The sequence below is a fragment of the Homo sapiens genome, chromosome 6, assembly GCF_000001405.40.
Source record: "Homo sapiens chromosome 6, GRCh38.p14 Primary Assembly".
NCBI classification, from domain to species: Eukaryota; Metazoa; Chordata; class Mammalia; order Primates; family Hominidae; genus Homo; species Homo sapiens.
In genome coordinates, this window is record NC_000006.12 from 26,188,670 (window position 1) to 26,206,673 (window position 18,004).

The 18,004-nt window shown below is 42.8% G+C and overlaps 5 protein-coding genes and 2 pseudogenes across 6 annotated transcripts, besides 18 other annotated features; 4 read left to right on the top strand and 3 right to left on the bottom strand.

Annotated features, from left to right (window-relative positions):
* Positions 1-40: 40 nt before the first annotated feature.
* Positions 41-443, bottom strand: H4C4 (H4 clustered histone 4). The gene has a single exon (NM_003539.4). It carries the CDS (start codon positions 405-407, stop codon positions 96-98), a length of 312 nt encoding a protein of 103 aa, NP_003530.1. The 5' UTR covers positions 408-443; the 3' UTR covers positions 41-95.
* Positions 452-631: an enhancer, noted in NCBI's record as "active region_24199". NCBI's record gives its function as "activates an Ori minimal core promoter by ATAC-STARR-seq in GM12878 lymphoblastoid cells {active_cell/tissue: GM12878}" and the evidence as "EXISTENCE:reporter gene assay evidence [ECO:0000049][PMID:35858748]".
* On the top strand, positions 6,897-7,102 carry H1-12P (H1.12 linker histone, cluster member, pseudogene; annotated as a pseudogene).
* Positions 6,948-6,997: an enhancer, noted in NCBI's record as "active region_24200". NCBI's record gives its function as "activates an Ori minimal core promoter by ATAC-STARR-seq in GM12878 lymphoblastoid cells {active_cell/tissue: GM12878}" and the evidence as "EXISTENCE:reporter gene assay evidence [ECO:0000049][PMID:35858748]".
* Positions 7,744-8,345: an enhancer, noted in NCBI's record as "H3K27ac hESC enhancer chr6:26196641-26197242 (GRCh37/hg19 assembly coordinates)". NCBI's record gives its function as "activates a minimal SCP1, AML or CMV promoter by ChIP-STARR-seq in naive H9 embryonic stem cells {active_cell/tissue: H9 hESC(naive)}" and the evidence as "EXISTENCE:reporter gene assay evidence [ECO:0000049][PMID:30033119]".
* Positions 7,858-7,967: an enhancer, noted in NCBI's record as "active region_24201". NCBI's record gives its function as "activates an Ori minimal core promoter by ATAC-STARR-seq in GM12878 lymphoblastoid cells {active_cell/tissue: GM12878}" and the evidence as "EXISTENCE:reporter gene assay evidence [ECO:0000049][PMID:35858748]".
* Positions 8,115-10,624, bottom strand: H3C4 (H3 clustered histone 4). 2 transcript variants are annotated; one of them, NM_003530.4, is made up of 2 exons: positions 10,190-10,624; positions 8,115-8,600 (listed from the first exon to the last, which is right to left on the bottom strand). In NM_003530.4, the coding sequence occupies exon 2, from the start codon at positions 8,579-8,581 to the stop codon at positions 8,171-8,173; it is 411 nt and encodes a 136-aa protein (NP_003521.2). In that variant the 5' UTR covers positions 8,582-8,600; positions 10,190-10,624; the 3' UTR covers positions 8,115-8,170. The 2 variants fall into 2 exon arrangements, with proteins under 2 accessions (NP_003521.2, NP_001363866.1); NM_001376937.1 differs by lacking the exon at positions 10,190-10,624 and having other exon boundaries at positions 8,115-8,617.
* Positions 8,346-8,946: an enhancer, noted in NCBI's record as "H3K27ac hESC enhancer chr6:26197243-26197843 (GRCh37/hg19 assembly coordinates)". NCBI's record gives its function as "activates a minimal SCP1, AML or CMV promoter by ChIP-STARR-seq in primed H9 embryonic stem cells {active_cell/tissue: H9 hESC(primed)}" and the evidence as "EXISTENCE:reporter gene assay evidence [ECO:0000049][PMID:30033119]".
* Positions 9,689-9,748: an enhancer, noted in NCBI's record as "active region_24202". NCBI's record gives its function as "activates an Ori minimal core promoter by ATAC-STARR-seq in GM12878 lymphoblastoid cells {active_cell/tissue: GM12878}" and the evidence as "EXISTENCE:reporter gene assay evidence [ECO:0000049][PMID:35858748]".
* Positions 9,779-9,838: an enhancer, noted in NCBI's record as "active region_24203". NCBI's record gives its function as "activates an Ori minimal core promoter by ATAC-STARR-seq in GM12878 lymphoblastoid cells {active_cell/tissue: GM12878}" and the evidence as "EXISTENCE:reporter gene assay evidence [ECO:0000049][PMID:35858748]".
* Positions 9,970-10,587: an enhancer, noted in NCBI's record as "NANOG-H3K27ac-H3K4me1 hESC enhancer chr6:26198867-26199484 (GRCh37/hg19 assembly coordinates)". NCBI's record gives its function as "activates a minimal SCP1, AML or CMV promoter by ChIP-STARR-seq in naive H9 embryonic stem cells {active_cell/tissue: H9 hESC(naive)}" and the evidence as "EXISTENCE:reporter gene assay evidence [ECO:0000049][PMID:30033119]".
* Positions 9,970-11,315: a biological region, named in NCBI's record as "BRD4-independent group 4 enhancer GRCh37_chr6:26199013-26200212".
* Positions 9,999-10,068: an enhancer, noted in NCBI's record as "active region_24204". NCBI's record gives its function as "activates an Ori minimal core promoter by ATAC-STARR-seq in GM12878 lymphoblastoid cells {active_cell/tissue: GM12878}" and the evidence as "EXISTENCE:reporter gene assay evidence [ECO:0000049][PMID:35858748]".
* Positions 10,115-10,624, bottom strand: H2AC7 (H2A clustered histone 7). The gene has a single exon (NM_021065.3). It carries the CDS (start codon positions 10,572-10,574, stop codon positions 10,182-10,184), a length of 393 nt encoding a protein of 130 aa, NP_066409.1. The 5' UTR covers positions 10,575-10,624; the 3' UTR covers positions 10,115-10,181.
* Positions 10,116-11,315: an enhancer, noted in NCBI's record as "BRD4-independent group 4 enhancer chr6:26199013-26200212 (GRCh37/hg19 assembly coordinates)". NCBI's record gives its function as "activates an origin of replication core promoter dependent on BRD2, P300/CBP, MED14 and CDK7 cofactors, and independent of BRD4, by STARR-seq in HCT116 cells {active_cell/tissue: HCT116}" and the evidence as "EXISTENCE:reporter gene assay evidence [ECO:0000049][PMID:35650434]".
* Positions 10,249-10,428: an enhancer, noted in NCBI's record as "active region_24205". NCBI's record gives its function as "activates an Ori minimal core promoter by ATAC-STARR-seq in GM12878 lymphoblastoid cells {active_cell/tissue: GM12878}" and the evidence as "EXISTENCE:reporter gene assay evidence [ECO:0000049][PMID:35858748]".
* Positions 10,588-11,207: an enhancer, noted in NCBI's record as "NANOG-H3K27ac-H3K4me1 hESC enhancer chr6:26199485-26200104 (GRCh37/hg19 assembly coordinates)". NCBI's record gives its function as "activates a minimal SCP1, AML or CMV promoter by ChIP-STARR-seq in naive H9 embryonic stem cells {active_cell/tissue: H9 hESC(naive)}" and the evidence as "EXISTENCE:reporter gene assay evidence [ECO:0000049][PMID:30033119]".
* On the top strand, positions 10,847-11,319 carry H2BC7 (H2B clustered histone 7). Its single transcript, NM_003522.4, has one exon. It carries the CDS (start codon positions 10,890-10,892, stop codon positions 11,268-11,270), a length of 381 nt encoding a protein of 126 aa, NP_003513.1. The 5' UTR covers positions 10,847-10,889; the 3' UTR covers positions 11,271-11,319.
* Positions 11,199-11,288: an enhancer, noted in NCBI's record as "active region_24206". NCBI's record gives its function as "activates an Ori minimal core promoter by ATAC-STARR-seq in GM12878 lymphoblastoid cells {active_cell/tissue: GM12878}" and the evidence as "EXISTENCE:reporter gene assay evidence [ECO:0000049][PMID:35858748]".
* RPS10P1 (ribosomal protein S10 pseudogene 1) lies at positions 13,454-14,036 on the top strand (annotated as a pseudogene).
* Positions 15,729-15,978: an enhancer, noted in NCBI's record as "active region_24207". NCBI's record gives its function as "activates an Ori minimal core promoter by ATAC-STARR-seq in GM12878 lymphoblastoid cells {active_cell/tissue: GM12878}" and the evidence as "EXISTENCE:reporter gene assay evidence [ECO:0000049][PMID:35858748]".
* H4C5 (H4 clustered histone 5) lies at positions 15,941-16,352 on the top strand. The gene has a single exon (NM_003545.4). It carries the CDS (start codon positions 15,976-15,978, stop codon positions 16,285-16,287), a length of 312 nt encoding a protein of 103 aa, NP_003536.1. The 5' UTR covers positions 15,941-15,975; the 3' UTR covers positions 16,288-16,352.
* Positions 15,989-16,128: an enhancer, noted in NCBI's record as "active region_24208". NCBI's record gives its function as "activates an Ori minimal core promoter by ATAC-STARR-seq in GM12878 lymphoblastoid cells {active_cell/tissue: GM12878}" and the evidence as "EXISTENCE:reporter gene assay evidence [ECO:0000049][PMID:35858748]".
* Positions 17,449-17,528: an enhancer, noted in NCBI's record as "active region_24209". NCBI's record gives its function as "activates an Ori minimal core promoter by ATAC-STARR-seq in GM12878 lymphoblastoid cells {active_cell/tissue: GM12878}" and the evidence as "EXISTENCE:reporter gene assay evidence [ECO:0000049][PMID:35858748]".
* Positions 17,579-17,678: an enhancer, noted in NCBI's record as "active region_24210". NCBI's record gives its function as "activates an Ori minimal core promoter by ATAC-STARR-seq in GM12878 lymphoblastoid cells {active_cell/tissue: GM12878}" and the evidence as "EXISTENCE:reporter gene assay evidence [ECO:0000049][PMID:35858748]".

Below are 18,004 nucleotides of genomic sequence, written 5' to 3' on the forward strand. Positions count from 1 at the left end.
ACACTTTTAGCAGTGACTACTACTCTTTCTCCTGAGTGGATAGGTGGCCCTGAAAAGGGCCGTTGGTTTTGCGGTAGTGTACTGTAGAGGTAAGCTCAGCCGCCGAAGCCATAAAGAGTGCGTCCCTGGCGCTTGAGCGCGTACACCACGTCCATGGCTGTGACTGTCTTGCGTTTGGCGTGTTCCGTGTAGGTGACAGCATCGCGGATTACATTTTCCAGGAAAACTTTCAGCACTCCGCGAGTTTCCTCATAAATGAGGCCAGAAATACGCTTGACGCCGCCGCGGCGAGCCAGGCGGCGGATAGCGGGCTTGGTGATTCCTTGGATATTGTCACGCAATACCTTACGGTGACGCTTGGCGCCACCCTTACCTAGACCCTTTCCGCCCTTACCGCGGCCAGACATCTTGAAACCACAGCTGTTAAATCTGTAACGCAATACGTCTGGCAGAGCCACGCAGCACTTTTATAATAGCATGACGGACCTGTTTGAAAACCTCATGAGAAGGGGCGGGAACCACAGTCAGTTCCCGCCCTTCTGTGCAATTCTCCCTTGCTCAGACTGGAGGAGACCAAGAGGGGCCTGAGGCAACAAAAGAGCCTCAGCTGGGATTTAATAAATACTGCTAGGTATATATATATATATACACACACACTATACTTGCAGCCATTAACTGAGCCATCAGTTCATAAACTTTCGACAAAGAAGCCTGACAATTGTCCCCCACTTTTCCCAGAATATCAAATAATTAGTACTGTTTCCCTCACAGGGTGCTTTTTTTTTTTTTTTTTTTTTTTTTTTTTGAGACGGGTTCTTGCTCTGTTGCCCAGGCTGGAATGCAGTGGCACGATCTAGGCTCACTGCATCCTCTGCCTCCCGGATTCAAGCAATTCTCCTGCCTCAGCCTCCCGAGTAGCTGGGGTTACAGGCGCCCGCCACCATGCCCAGCTAATTTTGGTATTTTTTTAGTAGAGACGGGGTTTCACCATAGGCCAGGATGGTCTCGAACTCCTGACCTTGTGATCCACCTGCCTCGGCCTCCCAAAGTGCTAGGATTACAGGCGTGAGCCACCGCGCCGGGCCATAAGGTGCTTTCAAAGTATTTTAAGTAACTCATATCTTTATTGTCTCTGAGATTATTTTTATTGATTTATGCATTCCTAGTTAACCAAGCAGGGCTCTTTGGCATGCAGGCTAGATAGTGCTACTGAGGGAACTAAAAGTATATGAAAGTTACACATTTAGAGGTCAAATTAGGATAAGATCACCGAGGGCCGATTGAAAACATGACTATGTACACCCGTAAAAGAAAACCTTGTTGGGCTGAAATTTATGAAAATTTATGCTTTGATTGTGCCTTTAATCATGGACAGATTGTAGCTAGCACTGCATCATTCACCATATTCTATTACTCCAGCAAATTGGCATCATAGTATCCCTCCAAACTATCATAGAGACAGCCTGCTTGACATACATGCTGTGGGGGTGACCCTGGGCAAGCTATACTAAGTTTCCTTGTTGTAAATGTATTTTTAAAAATCTAACTTGTAAGTATTTGTTAAGTTGAAACAGATAATCCTATCAAAATGCTTAGAATAGTGTCTAGATTCCAAATAAGCAATGACTAAACATTAATTATGGTATAGTACAATATTGTGGGTGTTTTCAATTCCTATCCTTAAGGTTCACCCTTCTAAAGGGATGAGAGACAGTATTCTAATTTGCTAAAATCTGATTTCGAGAACTCCTCAAAATAATAAATAATTAAAAACTTAACTCATCATTAATCCCCATAAAAAGTTCCAGGTCCTTTGGGTGGAATATTTGGCTTTTCCTTCATGACTTGTGAGAAGAACCAAGTTTATCACAGCTGTTTGCTGTTTATTGAGTTTATGGTACATGGAAAAGATTGCAGAGTAAGGTTCTTAGCCTGGGATACATAGAAAGTCTTCAGGGGATCTGGGAATGAGTATAGAAAAAAAAAAAGTCAAATCTTTTTTTTTTCTTTTTACTATTCTCCAACAGAAACAGCATTTTTTCTGTGTATGAACTCAGGCAACAAACAGTGTAATTGGCAGGACAAGTGCTTCTATTTATATCACATTCTCATTGCCAATATCTCGAAATTTCATTTAAAAATCTCAATCCTAAAGCCGGGTGCAGTGGCTCACGCCTGTAATCCCAGCACTTTGGGAGGCAAAGGCGGGAGGATCACGAGGTCAGGAGATGGAGACAATCCTGGCTAACACAGTGAAACCCCATCTCTACTAAAAATACAAAAAAATTAGCCGGACATGGTGGCGGGCACCTGTAGTCCCAGCTACTCAGGAGGTTGAGACAGGAGAATGGCGTGAACCTGGGAGGTGGAACTTGCAGTGAGCAGAGATCGTGCCACTGCACTCCAGCCTGGGCAAAACAGCAAGACTCCATCTCAAAAAAAAAACAAAAAAACAAAAAAAAACCTCAATCCTTCAAAACTATAATAAGTCTTAGTCATATGGGTAGATTATTATTTAATGTATTAATTTAAAAAGGACATATGCCAGGCCATGGCTTATGCCTGTAACTCCCAGCTCTTTGAAAGGCCCAGATGGGAGGATCACTTGAGGCCAGGAGTTCCAGACCAGTCTAGCCAACATGGCAAAACCATGTCTCTACTAAAAATGCAAAAATTTATCAGGCATGGTGGCGCACAGCTACTTGGGTAGCTAATCGCTTGAACCTGAGAAGCAGAGGATGCACTGAGCCAAGATCGTACCATTGCACTCCAGCCTGGGCAACAGTGAGACTCTGTCTCAAAATCAGTAAGTAAATAAAATAAAAAATTTAAAAGCACATATGTTAATATTTCACCAATTTAGATTTTTTATAATTTGATAATGGCATACTAATATAATTGTTTCACTTTGCATTCCTATATATTATCTAATGCATTTAAAACCACTATTCTGCGCGGGGCATGGTGGCTCATGCCTGTCATCCCAGCACTTTGGGAGGCCGAGGTGGGTGGATCACCTGAGGTCAAGAGGTCGAGACCAGCCTGGCAACGTGGTGAAACCGCGTCTCTACTAAAAATACAAAAATTAGCTGGGAATGGTGGTGCATACCTGTAATCCCAGCTACTTGGGAGACTGAGGCAAGAGAATTGCTTGAACCTGGGAGGCAGAAGTTATAGTGAGACAAGATTAAGTCACTGTAATCCAGCCTGGGTGACGAGTGAAATTCCATCTCAAAAATAAATAAATAAATAAATATTATTCTGGCCGGGTGCGGTGGCTCACGCCTGTAATCCTAGCACTTTGGGAAGCCAAGGCTGGTGGATCACTTGAGCCCAGTTCAAGAGCAGCCTGGGTAACATGGAGAAACCCTGACACTACTAAAAATACAAACATTAGCTGGGCATGGTGGCATGCTCTTGTAATCCCAGCTACATGGGAGGCTGAGGCACAAGAATCACTTGAACCCGGAAGGCAGAGGTTGCAGTGAGCCAAGATTGCACCACTGCACTCCAGCCTGGGCGACAGAGTGAGACTCCATCTCAATAAATAAATAAGTAAATAAATAAAATAAAATCCTTCTTAGAAGGAGAGGCATAGTATGGGCCACTCAGAGCTAAATGGTGAAAACTTGAGCAAGTTACCTATTTTATAATTGATCTGCATCCTCAGTGGTGTATAATGTCTCACCTAGTTATTCAGTTTAAAATGAAAAACAAGAGTCAAGCACTACTATGTCAACAATACTGCACAGGGCATACTGCTGCAGAAAACAATCATTTGGGGAGTAGCCATAAAGGCAAAATAAAGAAATGGAAAGTTAAGGACACTTGAGTTATGTTCTGGTTCCACACAATTCCCTATATGCATTTCTGCAAGTTTTTTTACATAAATATTTGTATGCCGTACTATAATACTAATCTGTACTTTTAGATGTTTGTAAACTACTAGGAAGATTTAAAAGTGGACAAGTATGCAGATAATACGAGACAGATTATAATGGCCTTTTACGAAATCGATGTAGGGGGCCTGGTGCCGTGGCTCATGCCTCTAGTTGCAGCACTGTGGGAGGCGGAGGCGGGCACATCACAGGGTCAGGAGTTAGAGATCAGCCTGGCCAATACAGTGAAACCCTGTCACTAGTGTCTACTAAAAATACAAAAATTAGCTGGGCGTGGTGGCGCGCGCCTGTAGTCCTAGCTACTCAGGAGGCTGAGGCAGAAGAATCGCTTGAACCTGGGAGACGGAGGTTGCAGTGAGCCAAGATCACGCCACTGCACTCCAGGCTGGGCAACGGAGTGAGAGTCCATCTCAAAAAGAGAAAAAAAAGAAAGACATCAATGTAAGAATTCAAAACAGAGAGAGATCTCATCTATTTTGAGAGATGGGGAATGAAAAATATAAAAATTTCAAAGTATGTCATTAGATTAGTTTGAAGTTTAAAACAGGGTGGGGGAGAGAGAAAAAAAGAAGAAAAAAACTGAAAAAAGATACTCTGCAAGGTAATATAATTAGACCAAGATCACATAGCTGCTAAGGGGCAAAACAAGACTGAAATACATGTCATCATGTTTGCAAATTCCATGCTTCTACTAAACCACACTGCCAGATTGTTGATTTAAGGCCATATAAAAGAGTTTGATTGCCATACTAAGATTATTCTTAAATCTAAAGCTATATGAATCCAGCTTTTTCTTCACGGCTTATAAGAATAGAGAAAACCAGTTAAGTGAAGAAAACATAAAGCTACAAGGAGATGGGGCATATAAATTTGAAGCTCATATGAAGAATATTTCACCCAGAGCAATGAAGAGAATGAATGACAGCACAAAGGGATGAGAGAAAGGAGCCACCCATAAGAAGGCTATAAAAATAGCCAGTCCAAAGAAGAGATAGAAGAGCAAGAATTACAACCATGAAAAGGCAAATAAACAAGGAAAGATGAATTTAGGAAGAATTCACCAAACTTAGTAACAGATTGGATTTGGCAACAAAGGAAAGGGAATAATTGAAGTGTCAGTTAACAAAGCAATAGTGTTGTTGTGAACAGAATATATAGGAATGTCACTTGAAAGGTTGCTTCCTAGATGTGGTTGGATATGTTGAGGGTGTGATATACGTAAACAATGAAGCCAATATCCAGCAATCTTAGACAGAAGCTACTTAGATAAGGATGGTCATACTGAGAGTCTGGTATAGAAGATGAACAAGCAGATATCCAGCAACCATCCAGAAATCCAACTTTGATACTTAGGCAAGAGGACAGGCCTGAAGGGAGAGACTTTAGTTACCTGTAAGAAACTAACTCACAAACCCATGAAGGCAAATAGGACAGTACCTCAGAGAATTCCTGCAGTTGGAAGGCTACAAGTCAGTTCTTCCTTTGTTGGTGCTCCAGGAAATCAAATATAAGTATAAAATATAAATATAAAATGGGTCAAAGCCATTTTAAGATTAGAAATACATGGGCTCCATAAAAAGTGAATACACACTCAAAGTAAATGTGATTCATATTTAGCTCATGTCTCATCTCAAACATTTGATTTTAATTTTTATTAACATTTATTAATTTGTTCATGTCCTAGTTTAATTTGCTACATGAAGTCATTTGTATTTTGATGAGATCAAAAAGTGTGAAACCCTCACCTTTTGGGCTTTACTCTGTCTGTTCCCAGCATTTATCTCCTTCATAGTCTTAGTAAAACAGAAATGTATATGCTCCCCAGATCAGCATACGTTCAAGACATTGAGGAGTGAAGAAAATCAGTTAATTCACTTTCTGCCATCACTCCATTTTCTTCTCATATCGAACATAAGCTGTACTTCATCACTATAAGCCTATATCCTTGTTTAAACAAGAAATGTAGTACTGAATATGAAACATGGCTGTTTTTTAAATTTCTCTCTCTAGGGAATTTTGTGTGTGTGTGGTGCTTGTGTGTATATTCTTTGATCCTGGTACTTGAATAGTTTACCAAAGTCTATTTTCCCCGTGTCACCAAGCATGACAGACCCCTGAACCCAAAGACTCATGAATATTTTAATAACAAATTTCCCCCAGTAAAAATTTAAAAAAAAAATTTTTTTTTGACCCTTAAATGAGTCAAACTCTGTCTCTTTTATGTCCTTTCGTGGATCTCTCCTGAGTTCAGCTATGCAAACAGTCCCAATATCAGGAGAATCAGTGATCATTGTATTTCCCATTTTCCCAAGGAAACGTTGAACATTTACTGGAACCCTCCCAAAGTAACTAAACGTCCAAATAGTTACAAGAAGCTATCATGAAATATTTTCAGCCCCAGCTAATTTTATCAGAAAGGGCTGTTGTTCTAAGTATCCGTACTGCTGTTCTTGTGGAGAAATTCAAAAAGAACCTGTTGTTTCTCTTCTCATATAAAACAGATTTCCTCGTTAAATCTCAATGAAAATCAAGTAGTTGTTCAATGTATGAGAAGCCAAAAATGTGTAGGCTATTATTAGAAGACAGCAAACAATTGAAGACACGAATGGAAGAATTTATATTTTAAATGAAAATCAAGAAGTTGTCCCTCTGAACTGTGAATCTCTGAAAGTTGGAACTTTTGATAAAGGCCGAGGCTGCCTTAAGTAAAAACTAGAGAAAGAAAATGTAAAGATCATAACACCGTAGCCGTTCCAGTTCATTGTAGAATAGAATTGGTGTGATTCCTCCTCAGGAAATTTAAACTATTTTGATTTTCTGAATTTCCGCAAACACAACTCAGAAACAGGGTTGAGACTAGGTTGCTGCCAAGCTGAAAGACTGAGCTGGGAACCAATCAGCGCGCAGCGTGTCTGTGTGTGACACACACGTAATCACAGACACACTCGCAGCCTGACTTTTTTTTTTTTTAACTGTTAGATATCCAAACCTACAATCATGTCCGAAACTGTACATGCCGTGACTCCTGGTCTATCTCCCAAGTCAAAGACTGAAGTAAAGAAAAAGGTTGCAAGTCCGAAGTTGCAGTGAAGTGCAAGATGTCCAGGCCCCTCCGGTATGTGAGTTCATCACTAATGACTTAGCCGTCTCCAAGAAGCGCAGCGGCCTTCTCTGTGGCCGCGCTCAAGTAGGTGTTGGCGGCTACGATATGAAGATCGGCCCTTGCCGGTCGCGGTGGCCTACGTTTGTAATCTCAGCATTTTGTGAGGCCAAGGCGGGAGAATCTCTTAAGCTAAGGAGTTGTTTTTGGTGGTTTTGTTTGTCCTTGGGGATTTTTTTTTTTTTTTTGAAGGAGTCTAGCTCTGCTGCCCAGGCTGGAGTGCAGTGGTGTGATCTCGGTTCACTGCAACTTCCGCCTCCCGGGTTCAAGCCCTTCTCCTGCCTCAGCTTTCCATGTAGCTGGGACTGCAGGCGTGTGCCACCACACCCGGCTAATTTTTGTATTCTCAGTAGAGACGAAGTTTCAATGTGTTGGGCAGGCTGGTCTCGAACTCTTGGCATCACGTGATCCGCCCGCCTTGGCATCCTAAAGTGCTGTGATTACAGGCCTGAGCCACCTCGCCTGGCCAAGCTAAGGAGTTTTGAGGCCAGCCTGGGTAACACAGTGAGACCTCGTCCCTAAAAATAAATACAAATTTTTAAAAATTATTTGAATAAAGTTGGGCCTTGAAAACAAACGAGGGCATCTTCGTGCTAAGGAGTGCAGCGCCTCAGGTTCATTCCCGCCAAACCAGGCAGTGTTAGGAAAATCAAGACCGAGGCCAGAAAAGCCGCTGCAGTCATGCCCAAGACAGCTGTCCTGGCAGCCGAGAGGCCCAAGAAAGCTTGGGGCGTCCTTATTCCGAAAAAGAGTACTAAGCGGACCCCAAAAGCTTTTGCTGGTGGAGGCTGCTGGAGAAGGTTGGTTGGTCAAAGGTGGCCAAGAAAGTTCCCAAGCCGGAGGCATCCAAGCCTAAGAAAGCGGCCCCCAAAACAAGGAGATATAAGAGTACCTTAAAGGCTGTTTTAAGAACTCCCCAATTATAATAAAGCTTTTTGCACCAATTCCGTGAGGGGAGGGGGAACGGATAGAGGCAAGAATGCTTACTTACCTTGAGTGAACAGAGGTTCCAGTTTACGGACAGCAACAGTAAACAGCAACTTTTATAGAAAAGGTGGTTGGCTCTGAAAAGAGCCTTTGGGTTTTGGTTAGCACACATTCACAAGACAATTTACGCCCTCTCCCCACGAATGCGGCGAGCAAGCTGGATGTCCTTGGGCATGATAGTCACTCGCTTGGCGTGAATGGCGCATAGGTTGGTGTCCTCAAACAGCCCCACCAGGTAGGCCTCGCAGGCCTCCTGCAGCGCCATCACCGCCGAGCTCTGAAAACGCAGATCAGTCTTGAAGTCCTGCGCGATCTCACGGACTAGACGCTGGAATGGCAGTTTGCGAATCAGCAGCTCGGTCGACTTCTGGTAGCGGCGGATCTCGCGCAGAGCCACCGTGCCGGGCCGGTAACGGTGGGGCTTCTTCACGCCGCCGGTGGCTGGAGCGCTCTTTCGAGCAGCCTTGGTGGCCAGCTGCTTGCGTGGCGCTTTCCCACCCGTGGACTTGCGAGCAGTCTGCTTGGTACGAGCCATTGCGAACTTCTAAACCCTGCTAAATGACGAAAAAACGAAAGTCTAGCCTTTCGTACCCGTATATATAAAGACACCCCTGTTCTGATTGGACAAGGCAGCCTTTCCCCTGCAGCTCGATTGGTGGAGACGCCCACTCCCTGACAGAACATCTCCTGCATGTAGACCAAATATTAAAACTTTCCTCCGTCCATCTTTAACTGCTGGTGTTTTCAACCCTTTCCCCTCTGTGCCATGTTTCTAGCTTTTATTTAAAACGTACTTTGGTTTTCCTTGGCAAAATTGTGTCTAGCTACTAGGATGACGTGTCTTAATTTTTTTTTAAATGTTGGCGCTGAAACTGGCTTTGATCAACGTTTTAAAAAGACGCGCGCTAGTTGTGATTGGCCAAGTGATTTCTTTTTACCCTCTTAAGTTTAGAAAGGTTAATTTCATATCTTGATTTGTCTATTTAAACTTGGAGATATTTTCAATAATTTGTTCCAAATGCACCATGACTATTAACTCATAAGTAACAATATGAAACCTGATGTTAAGCTACATGAACACATTTAATTTCACCACAATATGTCATCCTCATATGAAAGCACTCTTATCTTTTACAAGTTCAACTGGTATTTGTGTAATCTGCTGTAAAAAAAAAAAAAAAAAAAAGCCAAATTTATAAATGGCACAAAAAGACCAGTGTGCCCTTTTAGTCATGCTGAACACTGTGCTAAGAAGCTCCACCTAAGGGCCGTCTGGCTCCAGGGGATGTAGGTTTGTATTCCTATTGATAATTAATTAGGGTTAGCTCAGTAGAGTTGAAAGTGGCTTGCAAAAACAAACCCAAAAAATACTTACAAATTACAGGTTATTTCGTATCATTAAGATGCATACAAAAGACAATAAAACATTTGTTCTGGTTCTGTTGCTTTAAGTCACTAACTATATTTTTATGTAAATGTAAACACTGACAAACATTAACTTCTCTCCTGTATGTCTCAGGCCTTTTAACAGCTTTGCAATCCTAACGAGCCGCTGCATTGATCGATTTAAATTACATGTGACATAAAGTCTCTTTGCATTTTAATTAGTTTGCTTTTTTGGGTTTTTGTTTGTTTTGAGACAGTCTCGCTCTGTCGCCGAAACTGGAGTGCAGTGGCGCGATCTCGACTCACTGCAACCTCCGCCTCCGGGGTTCAACATTTTCTCCTGCCTCAACCTCTTAAATAGCTGAAATTACAGGCGCGCGCCACCACGCCCGACAAATTTTTTTATTTTTAGTAAAGACGGGGCTTCACACCATGTTGGTCAGGCTGTCCTGGAACTCCTGACCCTGTGATCCGCCCACCTTGGCCTTCCAAAGTCCTGGGATTACAGGCGTAAGGAACCGCGCCCCGCCAATTTGCTTATGTATTTTTATGGCATCTTTAAAATGGACGGTTAGTTTCACGATTCAGTGTTAAGAACACCCACTTATAAATGGAAAAATTATTAAAGAAAACTGCAAAATAGCTATTTACACAGAAAATGTGAGCCCTTTTAAGGAATACATGGGTGGCTCTGAAAAGAGCCTTTGTTAAGACTGCTTCCTTAAAAAGCCAATATAAGAGTTCTCGTTTTACTTGCCCTTGGCCTTGTGGTGACTCTCAGTCTTCTTGGGGAGCAGTACAGCCTGGATGTTGGGCAGAACACCGCCCTGAGCAATTGTGACTTTACCCAGCAACTTGTTTAGCTCCTCGTCGTTGCGGATGGCCAGCTGCAGGTGTCGGGGGATGATGCGGGTCTTCTTGTTGTCGCGGGCGGCGTTGCCCGCCAGCTCCAGGATCTCGGCGGTCAGGTACTCCAACACCGCCGCCAGATACACTGGCGCGCCGGCCCCGACTCGCTCGGAGTAGTTGCCCTTGCGGAGCAAGCGGTGTACGCGGCCCACAGGGAACTGGAGTCCGGCCCGCGAAGAGCGGGTCTTAGCCTTAGCTCGGGCCTTTCCGCCTTGCTTGCCGCGTCCGGACATTTTGAATTCTTAAAAACGATGTTAAGCAATGAAGACAAAAATGTAAAAGTGAATTTTGTTAGCAAGTGAGAAACTATTATACTTGGAGGTCGAATTGTAAATAACGCTATTTGATTGGCTAGAACAACCAACCAATTGCAAAGAAACGCTAGAATCACCTAATTTGCATACCACAGGGCACACAGAGACAATTCATCCAATCAATGTGTAAGCTTTTAAATGCCAGTTTACGATAGGAGCTCTACAAATATTACCAGCTGCAGAGTGAGGACACTTGCATTTCTCTTTAGGTTGTGGACGAAGTGTTTATTTATCATGCCTGAACCTGCTAAGTCCGCTCCTGCTCCAAAAAAGGGCTCCAAAAAGGCGGTGACCAAGGCGCAGAAGAAGGATGGTAAGAAGCGCAAGCGTAGCCGCAAGGAGAGCTATTCCGTGTACGTGTACAAGGTGCTAAAGCAGGTCCACCCCGACACCGGCATCTCATCCAAGGCCATGGGCATCATGAACTCCTTCGTCAACGATATCTTCGAGCGCATCGCTGGCGAGGCTTCCCGCCTGGCGCATTACAACAAGCGCTCCACCATCACCTCCAGGGAGATCCAGACGGCCGTACGCCTGCTGCTGCCCGGGGAGCTGGCTAAGCACGCCGTGTCAGAGGGCACCAAGGCCGTCACCAAGTACACCAGCTCTAAGTAATTCTAACGTCTTCATACCCAATCCCAAAGGCTCTTTTAAGAGCCACCCACTTTTTCAGCTATAGAGTTGTAATTACCTGCATATTTTCCGTGTTTACCACCAACAGGTTTGGTTTTATCCTCATTTGAGGGGGTTGCTGCTGTGTAGGTCTAGACCACAGTTCTTTTGACTGGTTGAAGGAAAATGCTATACTTAACCGTAGCATGTTTGTTTTACCCCAAGTGCTGGTTAGAAGGCTAGCCCATTGTGCTGATAAGCACATTTTTCTTATGTTGTGCTGTGATGTGTCCCTTGTCAAATTGGTTTCATAAGAAAAGAACTTTTGAAATATCTCTTTTGCTACTGACATAGTGTGAGGGAAAGGAATGTCTTCCTTAATTCCGGTTTAGTCATCGCAGCATTGGCGAATTTAGCTGGTTAAAATAATGTAATCAAATTCTTTAAAATATAAGGAAAGCAAGACAAGTAATGTGCATGAAAACTGAAAAAATGTGAACACCCGAGCCTGGATGCAGCACTAATAATCAACATTGTTCTTGGTTTAGTTAAAGAAAATTTGGCCACTGGCAAAATACCATTTGGGAGTAATGAGACACACCCCTAATCCTAAAATATTTTCTTGTCACTTCCTCAAAGTTGTTTTTGACTTTTTTTCCTTCAGGGTTGACTTCATATGTGTTCATTTTATTCTAATAAGCAAAAGTTGTAATTTTTAAGTGAAAAAATAATTTATGTCATTCTACTTACAAATACAATTTTTCTATTCTATATACTCATATATAAAGATACTGAAGTTTTACTGTATTCTTGGTAATTACAAGCCTTACTTAAGATCATAAACTGTTATGAATGGCATCCAGTGTAGAATACTTAAAATTTTTACAAAATGTTTTTGTATCTTAAAAATATTTAAAATATTATATATAAAAGATTCTTAGAATTTCAACCCAGTTAAGAAAAAAGGAATAGTATTCTATATTATTACTTTTTTTTTTTTTTTGAGGAGGAGTTTCGCTATTGTTGCTCAGAGTAGAGTGCAATGGCGCAATCTCGGCTCACAGCAACCTCTGGCTCCCGGGTTCAAGCGATTCTCCCGTCTCAGCCTCCCGAGTAGCTGGAACTACAGGCGCGCACCACCATGCCCGGCTATTTTTTGTATTTTTAGTAGAGACGGAGTTTCACCATGTTGGTCAGGCTGGTTTCGAACTCCTGACCTCAGGTGATCCACCATCCTCAGACTCCCAAAATGCTGGGATTACAGGCGTGAGCCACCACACCCGTCCCATAATTATTTTTCAACTTCCCACTCCCTGTCCGGCACATAAATGGACACAGAACACAGCACATGCAAAGCATATATAAACATTCAAATAAACAAAACCCAACTGAAAAAATGAAAGCAACAAGAAAAACCTAGGAAAATGAAAACTAAAAATACTAAATGGCTTCATGTGCCAATTTACATTGGCATAGCAGTCGATTTTTGCTTTCTGTAGTTCCAGAAGTAAATATCTAAACTAAGGTCTACATCAGCTTGAGGGGAATACAACAAGTTTCTGAAATTATATGCAGAAATGTGGCCATATGTGTTTCCCCTTCCCAGAACAAATTATATAGCTTTCTATCAGATTCTAAAAATGTTAAGCAGAATAAGGATACCCCAGTGATGACCACATCCTAATCCCTGGAGTCTGCAAATTCCTGGAGTCTTTGTTAGGTAACATGACAAAGGGCAACTAAGGTTTCCATGGAATTAAGGCTACTAATTGGCTGACCTTAAAGTAAGGAGATTATATTGCATGTTATGAATTAGCCCAATATAATTACAAAGATTCTTAAAAGTGGAAGAGGGAATTGGAATAGAGAACTAGAGATATGGCAGCATGAGAAAAATTTGGCCATAAATTGCAGACTTTGAAAATGAAAGAAAAGGACCATGATCTAAGGAGAGAGTGGCATCTATCAGTTAAAAAGGCAAGGGAAAAGATACAGGCTCTTTATTTCTTTACTTAATATCAAGCCAACACCTTGACACTTTTGCTCAGTAAGATCTGTGACTGAGTCCCAATTTTTAAAACTATATAATTACAAATTTGTATTTTTTAATCATAAAATGTGATAAATTTTCAAACCAGCAATAGGAAACCAATACACCCATGCAAGTTTAAAGACTGAGTAATGTACCAGCCCCAGCCCGGGACCCTACAGCTGCTGAGATGTTGATGCGTAAGAAGAACTGGATTGCCATTTATGAACTCCTTTTTAAGGAGGGAGTCATGGTGGCCAAGAAGGATGTCCATATGCCTAAGCACCTAGAAATGGCAGACAAGAATGTGCCCAACCTTCGTGTCATGAAGGCCATGCAGTCTCTCAAGTCCCAGGGCTACTTGAAGGAACAGTTTGCCTGGAGACATTTCTAGTGGTACCTTACCAATGAGGGCATCCAGTATCTCTGTAATTACCTTCATCTGCCCACAGAGATTGTGCCTGCCACCCTACACCACAGCCGTCCAGAGACTGGCAGGCCTCCGCCTGAAGGTCTGGAGGGTGAGCAACCTGCAAGACTCACAAGAGGGGAAGCCGACAGAGATACCTACAGACGGAGTGCTGTGTCCCCTGGTGCTGACAAGAAAGCCAAGGCTGGGGCTGGGTCAACAACCGAATTCCAGTTTAGAGGCAGATTTGGTCGTGGGCCTGGTCAGCCACCTCAGTAAAACTGGAGAGGATTGTTTTGCATTGAATAAACTTACAGCCGAAAAAACTTAAAAAAAAAAAATTCAGTAATGTATTAACTAATGTTCTATTAAATTACAATTTTATATATATAATACAAATATGTAAATACTATTAAAATTATTATAGAAGCATGTAAATTCTTCCTAAATATCACAGTCTCACAGAGTTTTGATATTGCTGGCATTTTAACAGCAGCAATTTACAGTTCCTTTTTGTTTAGTTTCTACATATTTGATTTCTTTTCACAGTAGAAGTCCTAACATTTGCATGCCTAGCAGGGCATACAAATTAACTAACATGTACCCAGTAGCCTTCGAACTGAAGACTCAAAGATACAGGGGAAATCATACATTTTTATGCTTAGATTCAACAAAGTAGGGACAGCTGTGTAGAAATATGATTGGACACAAAGGGTACGAGCTAATGCTAATAGACTGAGCTAATGATAATAGCCCAGCAAGGCCTGTCTATATTCTTGGACTTTCTTGGGCAGCATTCTCTCCTCCTGGGAATAGGACAAGCCCTCTCTTGAATCGGGGTCTTATGACCTACAATCAAACGAGGTAGGCCAGGCAATTTCTTTACTGCCAGTTTTTACACAAAAAGGCAGAAGGAAAGTTGGATTCATATTTTTTAGGTTTTATGGCTAGCTTTGAGTCTAGCTTTGGTTTATATGTTCCATCTTGGGAAGGAAGCAGTCTAGTTCCTATAGCTAGCTTCGGGGAAGAATGGGAGGGAGAAAGAGGAAGGTAGGAGAAGGAGAAAAAGTTACTACGGAGGCCTTCATTTTGTAGCATTGTTTTCTGAGTCCCAACACCTTTTATTTTAAAAGCCTGTAGGAAGTCGCCTATTTAATAACTTGGCCCATTACACGTTGCCAATTCTCTTGTGATAAAGGCTGCTACCAGCATCAAAGAGAACAGAAAACTAACAATAGAGAAGTAAACATTAACACACCAGTGAGTTTCTAGGTTTAGATGTGCGAGTTGGCTAGATATTTAAATGATAATTATAAATTTTAATAAACAGGGAAGAAAGAAAAATAAGCCAAAAATGTAATACGGGCGTCCACAGCGAGGACCAGAATTCATGGGATCAAAAATTTTTTTTTCTTTTCTTTGAGACGGAGTTCCGCTCTTGTTGCACAGGCTGGAGTGCAATGGTGTGATCCGGGCTCACCGCAACCTCTGCCTCCTGGGTTCAAATGATTCTCCTACCTCAGCCTCCTAAGTAGTTGGGATTACAGGTATGCGCCACCAGGCCCGGCTAATTTTGTATTCTTAGTAGAGATGCGGTTTTTCCGTGTTGGAGACTGGTATTGAACTCCCGACCTCAGGTGATCCGCCCGCCTCAGCCTCCCAAAGTGCTGGGATTACAGGCGTGAGCCACAACGCCCGGCGGGATCACTAATTATCCGTGTTTTTCTCTTCGGGAGGAAAATCCTTTTGGTCAGATTTCCCTTGGCTTGGTGGTGGAGAGGGTGAGATCTTGCAGTTTTCAAACACTTCCTAAGGGGGTTCCGTCCCCAAGAGAGCAAGCAGCAGAAATGCCAGAGGAACCGTGCCTATGGGGACAAAGCTGAACTCCTCATGGAAGGAGATTACTGCAGTTCCGGTCTTGTGAGCCAAAGCTCCTGTTCAATCGTCCTAGAGCATCCCAAGCAGCAAATGATTTTAAACATGTTAATGTATTTAATCTCATTTAGTTGTTAAAATATGCCTAAATTTCCTCTTTGGGAACGCAAGACTTGCAGAGATGACTCCATGGAGAGCGGACTCTGCCGGCGGGAACTGGAGTCGTTGGTGACGTCATCCCAGTCTGATCTGTGAAGGGTAGGGCCAGCAGGCAGCACCAAAGTTCCCGTATGCGCGTTTTCAGTCTTCATTTAGGTCCGAATTCCCGGCATATAAGAATACTACCGTCGCTTGTTTTTCAGATTTTTGCGGCTATTTTCGTTGGTGTGTTGGTCATGTCTGGTCGCGGCAAAGGCGGAAAGGGACTGGGTAAAGGAGGCGCTAAGCGTCACCGTAAGGTCCTGCGAGATAACATCCAGGGCATTACCAAGCCTGCCATCCGGCGCCTTGCTCGTCGCGGGGGTGTCAAGCGCATTTCTGGTCTCATCTACGAGGAGACTCGCGGGGTTCTGAAGGTGTTTCTGGAAAACGTGATTCGTGATGCTGTGACTTACACGGAGCACGCCAAACGCAAGACAGTGACAGCGATGGATGTGGTCTACGCGCTGAAGAGACAGGGACGCACTCTTTACGGCTTCGGCGGCTAATGCTACCGCTTAAACGACTCAGCATCTCGACTTCCCAAATCAAAGGCCCTTTTCAGGGCCGCCCACAGTTTTCCGCAAAAGAGCTCATGACTTGTTAGACGATTGGTTGGTCTCTTTATAAGTTAATTGTTCCTGTCAACAGGTACGTATATTTTTCAGCCGTTTTTTTTTTTTCGTTCCAAATTACATTTGGGGTTTCGGCATACGATTTTTTAGGCTACGATCCTTTTATGTTTATTGTAGTAGGGCCTTAGATTGCACTGAAAAGGCTAGGGTAATAGTGTCTGTTTACCTTACCACTTTTATTTTGAGTACCTAAAAATGCATGGTTTTCGACATAAGTGGGAAAACCGCAAGACACTGCGTAACCGCTCAAAATGGCGGAGAGCGAAGAACAAAGCCGGTGCCTGGCAATGGGCCGGACCCGCGAATTAGCGCAACCAATCATCTTCCTGGAAAGGAGTGTGGGCCTTAAATTCTAGCGGCCTGTTTTCTATTACTTAACCTAACGACCGAGTTTAGGTGTGTAGAAGTTCCTGGGGTAGATAAGCTCACGCAAGGAGAGGTTGCAAGCATTCATTTCGGAATTCTATTAAGCCAACCCAGTTGTCCCTTAGAAGTTATGATATTTGCTGTTTTTTGAATAAAAGAATTTGACTCTCTTTAAACCCTAAAGCTTGAAATTTAGCATTTATCTCACATGAGACAAATGTTTAGGAACTCATGTTTAGGAACTCATGTTCCTGCCTGAGGCAGGAACTGAAACACCAGATCACTTGCATCGAGACCGTGAGACTCCCTATGTTTCATCCATCATGATTGCGTCCTTATCCCTCCCTGATTTCCTGTTTTCTCGCCCTTCTCGCTACATAAGCCCCCCAATTTTGGTCGGGGAGACGGATTTGTGATTTCATCTCCTCCCTCATGAATACTCATAGAATTTTTCCAAACCTACTGAATCTGTATGTAAGGTTGACTCTGTAAGGCATATATATATTCCAGCTCCCCTTCACTGCCACAGAGCGCTCATTCCATCCTGGGATTACTTCTCCCTCTGAAAATAAAGTCTTTGTTACTTCCTGCTTGGATCTCATTGTCTATTGTTCAAAAAAGATATGTCGTCATTCCACAGTTATGCCCCAGATGTCTTGGAGATGTGGTTTGTTTAAAGAAGGATCCAGCCATAACTTCCGTTGTGTCTCCAGTTTTCTTATCTAAAACAGGCTCCTCTCCCCTACTTCCCCATTTTTGAACATTGATTTCTCGGAGACCAGACTTACAGAATGTTTTTGTTTTGCTTTTGTTTTGTATTGGCTTGATTCTTAATCGTTTTACTTGGCTTCTGTACTCCCCATGTCCTGTAAAGTACAAGTGACTTTCATACACTTAATTGAAATCGGGTGAATATGCCTGTCAGGAACAGTTTACAGATGTAATGTACATAGTACACTACATCAGAAACACATGATGTCCGGTTTATGTAAATTCCAAGTGATAGAAAAATCGCAAGTTTGGGCTGGGCACAGTGGCTCATGCCTCTATTCCGAGCACGTTGGGAGGGCAAGGTGGGTCGATCACCTGAGGTCAGGAGTTCAAGACTAGTCTGGCCAACATGGTGAACACCTGACTCTATTAAAAATAAAAAAATTAACTGGGCATGGTGGCAGGCACCTGTAATCCCAATTAATCAGGAGGCTGAAGCAGGAGAATCGCTTGA